Here is a 13,448-nt window from a genome sequence, read left to right on the forward strand (position 1 = left end):
ATGGAAAAAAAAATTGGGAAAAGGGAGTGACAACAGAGATTTCCATTTAGTCTGCAAATTGTTTTTGGTCTTTCTCATCCATAGTCCAGCGCCAAGAGACTGTGGGATCATACAGTCTTGTTTGTGATCCAAACTGGCAGTGGCAGTACTGATGACAACAGTGTAGTAACTGTCTGCGCTCAGTAGTGTCGTTGGCAAGCTTCTAGTGAATTCTTTATCCACTCTGGTGGGCCACCTCATAGAGTATACATGTTGTCTCTGCGTTTTAACTTGATCTGTGGACCAACAGTTGTTTGTGGGTAACATTTGAGAATCTCTGTTTAAAGTCTAGGAAGTAAAAGGTTTTTTTAAATAAAAAATGTAAAGCCTATTCAAAAGTACAGTTAGCAGAAGATAAAGAACAAGCCATGAAACCACCTCTCCTCTGAGTCTTGTCTTATTTTTCTATTTTGACCGATTTCCTTCTGTGTTTGTTAGCATTAGGTTTGGCAGCATCGCAAAGGTCCCTGTATTCCCTCTTCCCCCACAAAAAGGTGCTTTAAACAAGATAGAGGTTTTTTCCTCTCAGGATATGGCAGCTATGTGGTCAGCAAAGACCCAGCTCCTATCTTTCTGTGTTGCAGTCTTTAGCTTATGACTTTCCTTCTCAGGGTTATCTCCTGGTTGCAAAGAAGGTCCTTGCAGCTCCATCCGTTGTGTTTGTTTTTCAGGCAGCAGAATCGAGGGGTGAGGGCAAAATGGCCCTTCTCTCTGTGAAGTTGGTCCCTTTAAAAATCTTTCCCATATTCCCACCCACTGATTTCTGATATTGGCCAACCTAATCTTCAAGGCAGGCCAGAAGATGTAAATTGCCACTTTTAGTAATACAGCAGTTTGATTTGTAAAAAAAGAAGAGGAAACTATTGAATGAACAACTAGCAGTCAGCCATAATTTAGATCTTTTATATAAAATAATTTCTGATATAGTTGAAGCCCTTCCCTTCCTCCCTCCTCAGAAACAACCACTAGTAAGAATTTGGTGTATTATCCTCATGCATATTATTCTCTACAGTGTTTGTGTCCATAAGCAGTCTGTTTTATTTTAATATGTTTTAAAGCTGTATATTAATGGAACATATTGTACATATTCTGTAAATCACTTTTGTCTCATTCATCATTGTTTACTGATAATGATGCACATAATTCTAGTTTATTCGTTTTTCCTGCTATATAGTAGTCTATTGTATAGTTCATGTGTACATTTAGGTTGTTACTTTTTTTTTTTTTGGTCATTATAAACAATCCTGCAATCATGTCTCTTTATACTCATGTGTAAGAGTTTCTCCAGGGACTGTACCTAGAAGTGAAATTAGTGAGTGATAGGGTAGTGCTTTCTTCAGCTTTATGAGATACTTATTGCCAGATTGCTCTCCAAAGTGGCCGTGCCAAATTACACTTGGAACAACAGTGTGTGAGTGTCCCATTTCCTTATTTCTTACTAGTTGTGTTTTTGCCAGTTTGATGAGGTCAGATTCATTTTCCTGAGTACTACGGAGATTGAGCATATTTTTATGTTGTCTTATATGTTCCATGTTTATGATTCTTTGTCTATGATTTGCCCGTTCATATCTTTGGCCATTTTTCAATTGTGTGTGTTTTTGTTGTTTGTTTTATTTATTTTTTTTTTTAGAGACAAGGTCTCGTTCTGTTGCCCAGGCTGGAGTGCAGTAGTGGGATCACAGCTCACTGCAACCTCAGGCTTCCAGGCCCAAGTGATCCCCCCACCTCAGCCTCCCAAGTAGCTGGGACTACAGATGCGTGTCAACACACCTGGCTAATTTTCTTTTTTTTTACTTTTTGCTTTTTGTAGAGATGCGGTCTTCCTATGTTGCCCAGGCTGGTCTTGAACTTCTGGTTCAAGTGATCCTCCTGTCTTGGCCTCCTACAATGCTAGGATTATAGACATGAATCACCGCAATTGGTCTGTTGTTTGTTTTGGTTTGTAGAAGTTTTTAATACATTCTGATACTAATCTTTTGTTCATTATCTGTATGTATCTGAATATTTCTTCCCGGACTTTCGCATATCTTATGATGTCTTTGGTTATATCAAAAATTTTAATTTTTATGTAGTAGAAATTATTCATTCTTTTGTGGTTTGTGCTTTTTGAATATTGCTTAAGCAATTCTTCCTGATCTAATGACGTGACAATAGTTGCCTATAGTTTAGAGTGTTAGAGATTTATGCCTTTAAGCCTTTAATGTTTTTTTGTATGGTATGAGGTAGGAATTTTATTTTTACTTATGAATGAACATTTATTGAATAGCCCATCCCTTTCACACAGATTTATAGTGCCATCTCTGTCATATATGAAGTTTGCATATTCATGTGGGTCTGATTCTGGGCTGTCTTCTGTTTCATTGGTCTTTTCATGTGTGTCTGCCTGTGTATGACACCAAATTAGTTACCATATCTTGATATATGGTAGACAGAGTTCTCTGACCTTGTTGTTTAAAATTGTAATGGCTTTCTTAGCTTTGCTCTTCCATGTAATTTTAGGATCTACTTTTAAAGTTCTATTTAAAAACTATATTGAGATTTTGATTGGAACTATAGTAAGTACACAGATTAATATAAAGATAATTTTTTTCTTTACTATAGAAATCCTTCCACACATAAAGATAGTATTCCTTAATTTTTTTGTAGATCTTTCTAAGCAATTTTCTTCTTTTTCTTTTTTTAATATTATTATTTTTCATTAAGAGACAGGGTCTCACTCTGTCACAGAGGCTGGAGTGCAGTGGCATAGTCACAGCTCACTGCAGCTTCGACTTCCCAGGCTCAAGCAATTTTCTCACCTCAACCTCCCAAGTAGCTGGGACTATAAGCACATGCCACCATGACTGGCTAACTTTTGTATTTTTTGTAGAGACAGGGTCTCCCTATGTTGCTCAGGCTGGTCTCGAACTCCTGGATTCAAATAATACTCTTTGCCTCAGCCTCCAAAGTGTTAGGATTACAGGCATGAGCCAAAGCACCTGGCTTAGCAATTTTCTGGTTGTTATTGGTACAGAAGACGTCAACTGAATTTTGTATGTTCATCTTGTATCCAGCAACCTTGCTGAAAGTTCTTGTTCTAATTGTCTTTATTTCCTTGGATTTTCTATTATTTTTTGTTCGTTTTCTTCTTTCTGATTCTAAATCTCTTTTTTTTTCCTTCTTGTTGTACTGCGCTAGATAGGTTCTCTAGTACATTGTTGACAGGAAGAAGTAATAGAAGACATTTATCTTTGTCTTTTTCCCAACTTTAACAGTAAGTGAGTTGTTTTTTTAACTGTAGATTTAGGGCAGATATCTTTTGTTAGGTTAACCAAATTCTTATTTCTAGTTTTCCATGAGTTCTTTGTTTTAAGTGTCTTAAAGGAGTGCTGAGTTTTACTATTTTATATAATATATAAGTTGTTTCCTCTTACCCACACCTCCATTCTTTGTTCTAATCTTGTCATCTATCACATCTTCATATTAATAAGTTGTACAACACAGAGTTATAACTTTTGTTTTAATTGGGTATACATCTTTTAAGAAATTAAGAGGGAAGAAATCAGGCTTTTATATTTATTCATATATTTACCGTTTCTGGTGTTCTTCATTCCTTCTGACAGATCTGAGTTTCCATCTGGTGTCATTTCCCTTTTACCTGAAGAACTTCCTTTAGCATTTCTTAATTTGTTTTGACATTTCTTTACTTGAAAATGTCTTTGTTACATGTAATGAGAAGTCATCCTTTTTTTTTCCCCTGTACATACATTTTTTTTTCCCTGTGGATGCTTTCAATATTTTGTCTTTCTTTATCTTTGGTTTTCAACAGTTTTAAACAAGATGTGCTGTGGTTGTGGTTTTCTTTGTATTTATCTGCTTAGGTTTCACTGGACTTAAATTTGCAATTTTGTTCTTCCCCAAATGTGGCCATTTTCAGGGGTTTTTTTCATGTTTTGTTTTTATCCTGTTTCCTCTGTTCTCTCCTTTTGCAACTCTGATTTCACATATGTTAAATTTTATGCTGTACCACAGCTCACTGAGGCTCTGTTCATTAAAGATTTTTCTTTCCTTTTCAGATGGGATAATTTCTTTTGATCTCCCTTTAAATGGACTAACCCTGTATTCTGTTGTCTATAATCTGCTGTAATCCCATCAAGTGAATTTCCCATTTCAGACTTTATATTTTTGTATTTTACATGATTCTGTGTGGTTCTTTTTTAAAGTTTTAATTTGTTTGATAAGAGTTTCCTCTGTTCAGTTATTATTAATTTCTTGAACATATTTATAGTAGGTACGTTATAGTCCTTGCCAACTGATTTCCACGTCTGGGTCATCTTCTGTTCAGTATCCATTGACTGCTTATTTTCTTGACTCAACTTTTCTGTTTATTTTCATGTCTCGTAATTTTTTATTGTATACTGGATATTGTGGATAATATGCTTTTTGACCCTCAATTCTCTCTTCTCTTAACGAATATTGATTCCTTGCTGGCTAGATTTAAACTCCAAATTCTGCCTCCCTGGCATTGGGCAACATCATTGATATCTCTGTTCAGTTCTTTCAGCTATCTAAATGTTCCTTTTCTTTGGAGCCTTTGGAGTCTGTCCTGTGTTATATGATTCAAGGTTCAACTAAAGATGGTGGTGAAGTTTACATAGATATTTTAGGGTTCTCACTTTTCTAGTATTTCCTGCCTCACTTTCCAGTTGCCTGCTAGTTCCAAATCTCATCCTTTGATGCTTCAAGCCAATATGATTGTGACTTCCTTCTTGAGTTTCAGTAACTCTGCACAGTGTAGGCTGGTAACTGCTGTTATTTGTGAGTAGATTAGTCTAGAATAAGCTCCTCTACTTTTCTGTGTGTGAGTGTCTCATGCTTTCACTTTCAGCTTTTCTGAATCCTTATGTTTTTGGTGTATGTCTCGTAAATAGCATTTAGCTTTTACTTTTTAAAAAAAATCCAGTTTGACAATTTAGATATATTTAGTCATTTTGTCTTAATTTTAATAACTGATGTATTGGGATTTATTTCTACCATTTTGTGCTGTCTATAGGTGTGGTTTCTCTATTATTTTAAATTCCTTTCTCATTTTATTTTAAAGTGATTGATTTTCTATTTCCTCCTTTTTCAACTTTGATTTTTAACTTACACATTCTGTTTTTATTTAATTAGTTGTTACCTTTTAATTCTCAACATATTTGCTCTTTAAAAAGCTAAAATTAATCTTTCTACCCTATCCCTAAACACAATGACCTTAAAATGCTTTAATTTCAATTGTCTTTCTTCCTTCTCACATGATACGTTTTCTGGCATTTTTATTTATTTACTAAATAATTATTGAACTCTTCTACCTTGTGCCAAGTACTGTTCCAGATGATGTAGTAATAACATTAAGCCACATAAAGTTCCTGTCATTTTGGAGCTTACAAGATAATTAATAAATTAATTAAGATACATTATGATGTAAATTACTACTTGGTGCTACAGTGGAAAGTAATGCATTAGGAAAAGATAAAGAATAACATTGGGGGTGGAGATGCTGTCTTGTAGATTAGTTTCTGCTCTCTTCAGACATTTCATAACATCTTTAGGGCTCAAGTATGAAAAACATAATTCCCATGCTGGGGATGTTTACAATCTAACCAAAGAGTCCCGGGGAAAAGATACATATATGGAAGCCACTGGCACACGGTGGGTGAAGCTGTGCCACTGCTGAAATTCCCAGGGAGGATGTGTATAGTGTCAGGGGTCTTGAGAACAGATCCGGAGAAGAGTAGGGAACCAATAAAGAAGACTTCAAAGCATGGTCAGAAAAGTAGGAGAACAAGAAATGACCCTGAGAGCCAAGAGAAGAGGCTTTATTTATAGCCTGCCTATTCTAAAAATAATTTAAGATGGCTAAGATATCAAGTAGAATGAAGCTGAGAAAGAGACTTGTGTTGCTAGGTAGGACATTACAGTTACTTGATTAACAGATGGTTTCATTGAAGTGAAGACTTGCCTTAGGGATAGAGAAAAAGACTTCTTGTGCAGAAGATGGTAAAGGAAGAACAAATAGAATGATAATTGGAGAGGTTGGTGTTGTAGCAAAAACATGTAGAAAATCTTAGAGATTTGGGGGATTCCATGACCAGAAAATAACATGAGCCCCTGGCCTGGAGGAAGTTCCTGCTGGATCCTTTACTTCCCAGAAACTGCTCCCCTGGTAGGCGGTGTATTTTCCTGTGTCTGAGTTCATAGTGGGCAGAAAGATGCATATTTTGCTGAAACTCCAACGCAGTGTTCTCTTGTAATGATCTGGCATTAATCTTCGTGTGATTAAAAATTAAAGTATGAGAAGAAATTAGTAACTTACCTGGCCTTTGCTTTTCAGACTCTTTAGCATGATAGTTAAGATTTCCTCTGTTCTGAACACACCCCTTTACTCCTGTCTCCCAATTAATTCTTCTGTTTGCTGTTCCCCAGACATTCCCTGCAATTTCTTGCCTCCCTATTTTAACTCACACTGTTTTGTCCACTTGAGATATTGTTTTGCCTTTTCCTAACTCATACCAATTCTCTAGTCATTCTCCCCACCAGTTTCTCTTTTTTGTGCGCTATAGCCCGTCACAACTCTCGGCATCTTTTGCAAAGACTTAAACTGTGAAATGACATGCAAACTCACTTTGTTGTCTCTCCTTCTATATTGCAAGCTCGTTGAGGATAGGGACTGAACATTTTTCATGTTTGTGTGCATCAGACTGCTTAGTGTAGTGTTTTGCACATATTTGAGAAAGTTTGAGTGAATTAGGGATATGTGATTCTGTGATAGACTAAGTAACGCCGTGTCTAAGATGAGCAGGTCATATACTAGGTTCTAGTTTGTAGCTCTTAAAATTTATATTGAAGTTCTGCTTTTTTGCAGTCTCCTGTAAAAGTAGAGTCCTTAATTTAGATCCTCCACTGATTTGTATCTTCATTTTTTTCTTGACAGGATATATACCTATATAAATCAATAATTATAGGTTGCAGATTGGTGTATCAGGATGCTTTTCACTGTAGTAGCAGAATACCCAGTTAAATCAGTGAGGGCTTTATCATCTTGCATAACAAGAAGTTCAGACATTGGGAGGTCTGGTCTTAGGGTTGGTCTGGCTCCATGAAATCATGAGGGTCCTGCGTGCTCTCCATGTTTTCAATTTGTTATCCTCAGCATGTCATTGATGGCATGTTGATGATGGCTTCCCCCATGGCCTCAAGATGGTTACATTACTTCTAAGCATACACTACTTCTGTACTCTCCAACAATAGCCAAAGGTTGAAAAGTGTAGTTTCTCCTTCAACATCTCTATGAGGGATATAACTGTTTCTGAATGCTTCCCAGCAGACCTCCCTTTCAGTACCATTAGTCAGGATTTGGTCACTTCTATTAGCTAGAGGAATAGAATGACCGTGGTTGGCTTGGACCAGTCAGGAATAGGTGGCCTAGCAGAGAATGGTCACTTGAATTCAGTTGGAGGTCAAATGCAATGAAAAATGTCAAGGTTGGATAAGGAACAAACAGTGTCTCCCACAGTGCTGTGTAGGTGTCTTTGGCCTTCCCACCTGGAAAGTTAAGATCCTCACAGTTTCCTAAGAGGGAGAGAGATAATTTTGTATTTCCACTGAGCTTGGCATTGGATCTCAGTAATAGTTTATTAACTCACTAATTCATGTAATAGACATTAACGGAACACATTTTGTGCCACGTACTGTGCTCAGTATTGGGGAAGAAGCTGAATAAGGCATGATCCTGGCACTCAGGTGGTAGCTGCCTACAGTTAAGTGGAACAGGGTGGCTGACTAAGGGGGGAGAATAGAGTTATTCTAAAATAAACTGATTTTAGGACATTCATTTTTCAACAGGAGATGTGGGACATGTGGATTTGGGATATGAATTCATTTGAAAAACCACTTTGGGTAAGTTGATAGTTGGGAGTGAATGACTTTAGGGCTCTACTTCTCTTACATTGGGGTTTGATCTTACAGCTAGCTTCTTAGGTTTTAAAAATTATGTTGATTGGGGGGGCGGTTCCAAGATGGCCGAATAGGAGCAGCTCCAGTCTACAGCTCCCAGTGTGAGCGACACAGAAGACGGGTGATTTTTGCATTTCCAACTGAGGTACCGGGTTCATATCACTGGGGATTGTCGGACAGTGGGTGCAGGACAGTGGGTGTAGCACACCGAGCTGAAGCAGGGCGAGGCATCACCTCACTCGGGAAGCACAAGGGGTCAGGGAATTCCCTTTCCTAGCCAAGGGAAGGAGGGACAAACGGCACCTGGAACATCGGGTCACTCCCACCCTAATACTGCGCTTTTCTGATGGTCTTAGCAAACGGCACACCAGGAGATTATATCCCGTGCCTGGCTCGGAGGGTCCTACGCCCACGGAGCCTCGCTCATTGCTAGCATAGCAGTCTGAGATTGAACTGCAATGTGGCAGCGAGGCTGGGGGAGGGGCACCCGCCATTGCTGAGGCTTGAGTAGGTAAACAAAGTGGCTGGGAAGCTCGAACTGGGTGGAACCCACCGCAGCTCAAGGAGGCCTGCTGCCTCTGTAGTCTCCACCTCTGGGGGCAGGGCATAGCCGAACAAAAGGCAGCAGAAACCTCTGCGGACTTAAATGTCCCTGTCTGACAGCTTGGAAGAGAGTAGTGTTTCTCCCAGCATGGAGTTTGAGATCTGAGAATGGACAGACTGCCTCCTCAAGTGGGTCCCTGAACCCCAAGTAGCCTAACTGGGAGGCACCCCCCAGTAGGGGCAGACTGACACTTCACACGGCCGGGTACCCCTCTGAGCTGAAACTTCCAGAGGAACAATCAGGCAGCAACATTTGCTGTTGACCAGTATTCGCTGTTCTGCAGCCTCCGCTGCTGATACCCAGGCAAACAGGGTCTGGAGTGGACCTCCAGCAAACTCCAAGAGACCTGCAGCTGAGGGTCCTGACTGTTAGAAGGAAAACTAACAAACAGAAAGGACAACCACACCAGAACCCCATCTGTACATCACCATCATCAAAGACCAAAGGTAGATAAAACCACAAATATGGGGAAAAAACAGAGCAGAAAAAATGAAAATTCTCAAAATCAGAGCACCTCTCCTCCTCCAAGGGAACACAGCTCCTCACCAGCAACGGAACAAAGCTGGACAGAGAATGACTTTGACGAGTTGAGTGAAGAAGGCTGCAGACGATCAAACTTCTCCGAGCTAAAGGAGGAAGTTCGAACCCAACGCAAAGAAGTTAAAAACCTTGAAAAAAGATTAGACGAATGGCTAACTAGAATAACCAATGCAGAGAAGTCCTTAAAGGACCTGATGGAGCTGAAAACCACAGCACGAGAACTACATGACGAATGCGCAAGCTTCAGTAGCTGATTCGATCAACTGGAAGAAAGGGTATCAGTGATGGAAGATCAAATGAATGAAATGAAGTGAGAAGAGAAGTTTGGAGAAAAAAGAATAAAAAGAAATGAACAAAGCCTCCAAGAAATATGGGACTATGTGAAAAGACCAAATCTACATCTGATTGGTGTACCTGAAAGTGATGGGGAGAATGGAACCAAGTTGGAAAACACTCTGCAGGATATTATCCAGGAGAACTTCCCCAACCAAGCAAGGCAGGCCAACATTCAGATTCAGGAAATACAGAGAACGCCACAAAGATACTCCTCCAGAAGAGCAACTCCAAGACACATAATTGTCAGATTCACCAAAGTCAAAATGAAGGAAAAAATATTAAGGGCAGCCAGAGAGAAAGGTCGGGTTACCCACAAAGGGAATCCCATCAGACTAACAGCTGATCTCTCAGCAGAAACTCTACAAGCCAGAAGAGAGTGGGGGCCAATATTCAACATTCTTAAAGAAAAGAATTTTCAACCCAGAATTTCATATCCAGCCAAACTAAGCTTCACAGTGAAGGAGAAATAAAATACTTTACAGACAAGCAAATGCTGAGAGATTTTGTCACCACCAGGCCTGCCCTACGAGAGCTCCTAAAGGAAACACTAAACATGGAAAGGAAGAACCGGTACCAGCCACTGCAAAAACATGCCAAATTGTAAAGACCATCAATGCCAGGAAGAAACTGCATCAACTAACTAGCAAAATAGCCAGCTGACATCATAATGACAGGATCAAATTCACACATAACAATATTAACCTTAAATGTAAATGGGCTAAATTAAAAGACACAGACTGGCAAATTGGATAAAGAGTCAAGACCCATCAGTGTGTTGTATTCAGGAAACCCATCTCGTGCAGAGACACACATGGGCTCAAAATACAGGGATGGAGGAAGATCCACCAAGCAAATGGAAAACAAAAAAAGGCAGGGGTTGCAATCCTAGTTTCTGATAAGTCAGACTTTAAACCAACAAAGATCAAAAGAGACAAAGAAGGCCATTACATAATGGTAAAGGGATCAATTCAACAAGAAGAGCTATCTTAAATATATATGCACCCAATACAGGAGCAGCCAGATTCATAAAGCAAGTCCTTAGAGACCTACAAAGAGACTTAGACTCCCACGCAATAATAATGGGAGACTTTAACACCCCACTGTCAACATTAGACAGATCAATGAGACAGAAAGTTAACAAGGATATCCAGGAATTGAACTCAGCTCTGCACCAAGTGGACCTAATAGACATCTACAAAACTCTCCACCCCAAATCAACAGAATATACATTCTTCTCAGCACCACACCGCAGTTACTCCAAAATTGATCACATAGTTGGAAGTAAAGCACTCCTCAGCAAATGTAAAAGAACAGAAATTACAACAAACTGTCTCTCAGACCACAGTGCAACCAAACTAGAACTCAGGATTAAGAAACTCACTCAAAACCACCAAACTACATGGAAACTGAACAATCTGCTTCTGAATGACTACTGGGTACATAATGAAATGAAGGCAGAAATAAAGATGTTCTTTGAAACCAGCAAGAACAAAGACACAACATACCAGAATCTCTGGGACACATTTAAAGCAGTGTGTAGAGGGAAATTTATAGCACTAAATGCCCACAAGAGAAAGCAGGAAAGATCCAAAATTGACACCGTAACATCACAATTAAAAGAACTAGAGAAGCAAGAGCAAACACATTCAAAAGCTAGCAGGAGGCAAGAAATAACTAAGATCAGAGCAGAACTAAAGGAGATAGAGACACAAAAAACCCTTCAAAAAATCAATGAATCCAGGAGCTGGTTTTTTGAAAAGATCAACAAAATTGATAGACCGCTAGCAAGACTAATAAAGAAGAAAAGAGAGAAGAATCAAATAGACGCAATAAAAAATGATGAAGGGGATATCACCACTGATCCCACAGAAATACAAACTACCATCAGAGAATACTATAAACACCTCTACACAAATAAACTAGAAAATCTAGAAGAAATGGATAAATTCCTCGACACATACACTCTCCCAAGACTAAACCAGGAAGAAGTTGAATCTCTGAATAGATCAATAACAGGCTCTGAAATTGAGGCAGTAATTAATAGCTTACCACCCAAAAAAAGTCCAGAACCGGCAGATTCACAGCCACATTCTACCAGAGGTACAAGGAGGAGCTGGTACCATTCCTTATGAAACTATTCCAATCAATAGAAAAAGAGGGAATCCTCCCTAACTCATTTTATGAGGCCAGCATCATCCTGATACCAAAGCCTGGCAGAGACACAACTTTAAAAAAAGAGAATTTTAGACCAATATCCCTGATGAACATTGATGCAAAAATCCTCAATAAAATACTGGCAAACCGAATCCAGCAGCACATCAAAAAGCTTATCCACCATGATCAAGTGGGCTTCATCCCTGGGATGCAAGGCTGGTTCAACATACGCAAATCAATAAATGTAATCCAGCATATAAACAGAACCAACGAGAAAAGCCACATGATTATCTCAATAGATGCAGAAAAGGCCTTCGACAAAATTCAACAGCCTTTCATGCTAAAAACTCTGAATAAATTAGGTATTCATGGGACATATCTCAAAATAATAAGAGCTATCTATGACAAACCCACAGCCAATATCATACTGAATGGGCAAAAACTGGAAGCATTCCCTTTGAAAACTGGCACAAGACAGGGATGCCCTCTCTCACCACTCCTTTTCAACATAGTGTTGGAAGTTCTGGCCAGGGCAATCAGGCAGGAGAAAGAAATAAAGGGTATTCAATTAGGAAAAGAGGAAGTCAAATTGTCCCTGTTTGCAGATGACATGATTGTATATCTAGAAAACCCCATCGTCTCAGCCCAAAATCTCCTTAAGCTCATAGGCAACTTCAGCAAAGTCTCAGTATACAAAATCAATGTGCAAAAATCACAAGCATTCTTATACACCAATAACAGACAGCCAAATCATGAGTGAACTCCCATTCACAATTGCTTCAAAGAGAATAAAATACCTAGGAATCCAACTTACAAGGGATGTGAAGGACCTCTTCAAGGAGAACTACAAACCAGTGCTCAATGAAATAAAAGAGGATACAAACAAATGGAAGAACATTCCATGCTCATGGATAGGAAGAAGCAATATTGTGAAAATGGCCATACTGCCCAAAGTAATTTAGAGATTCAATGCCATCCCCATCAAGCTACCAATGACTTTCTTCACAGAATTGGAAAAAACTACTTTAAAGTTCATATGGAGCCAAAAAAGAGCCCACATTGTCAAGTCAATCCTAAGCCAAAAGAACAAAGCTGGAGGCATCATGCTACCTGACTTCAAACTATACTACAAGGCTACAGTAACCAAAACAGCATGGTACTGGTACCAAAACAGAGATATAGACCAATGGAACAGAACAGAGCCCTCAGAAATAATACCACACATCTACAACTATCTGATCTTTGACAAACCTGACAAAAACAAGAAATGGGGAAAGGATTCCCTATTTAACCAATGGTGCTGGGAAAACTGGCTAGCCATATGTAGAAAGCTGAAACTGGATCCCTTCCTTATACCTTATACAAAACTTAATTCAAGATGGATTAAAGACTTAAATGTCAGACCTAAAACCAGAAAAACCCTAGAAGAAAACCAAGGCAATACCATTCAGGACATAGGCATGGGCAAGGACTTCATGTCTAAAACACCAAAAGCAATGGCAACAAAAGACAAAATTGACAAATGGGATCTCATTAAACTAAAGAGCTTCTGCACAGCAAAAGAAACTACCATCAGAGTGAACAGGCAACCTACAGAATGGGAGAAAATTTTTGCAATCTACCCATCTGACAAAGGGCTAATATCCAGAATCTACAAAGAACTCAAACAAATTTACAAGAAAAAAACAAACCCATCAACAAGTGGGCGAAGGATATGAACAGACACTTCTCAAAAGAAGACATTTATGCAGCCAAAAGACACATGAAAAAATGCTCATCACTGGCCATCAGAGAAATGCAA

General features: G+C 38.9%; 1 protein-coding gene across 12 annotated transcripts in view; it reads left to right on the forward strand.

Annotated features, from left to right (window-relative positions):
• The window catches only part of GALNT1 (polypeptide N-acetylgalactosaminyltransferase 1), a 130,913-nt gene that overhangs the window by 38,607 nt on the left and 78,858 nt on the right, over positions 1 to 13,448 (forward strand). For 2 of the 12 annotated variants that reach the window (NM_001384445.1, XM_047437465.1), the window contains one exon: positions 7,903 to 7,956. The exons of the other annotated variants lie outside the window; for them this stretch is intronic. The gene's annotated coding sequence lies outside the window, so the exon portion shown is untranslated. Of the gene's footprint in view, positions 1 to 7,902; positions 7,957 to 13,448 lie in introns of those variants that run through there. 12 annotated transcript variants of the gene reach the window in all.

Source organism: Homo sapiens, chromosome 18 (assembly GCF_000001405.40).
Source record: "Homo sapiens chromosome 18, GRCh38.p14 Primary Assembly".
Classification (NCBI taxonomy): domain Eukaryota; kingdom Metazoa; phylum Chordata; class Mammalia; order Primates; family Hominidae; genus Homo; species Homo sapiens.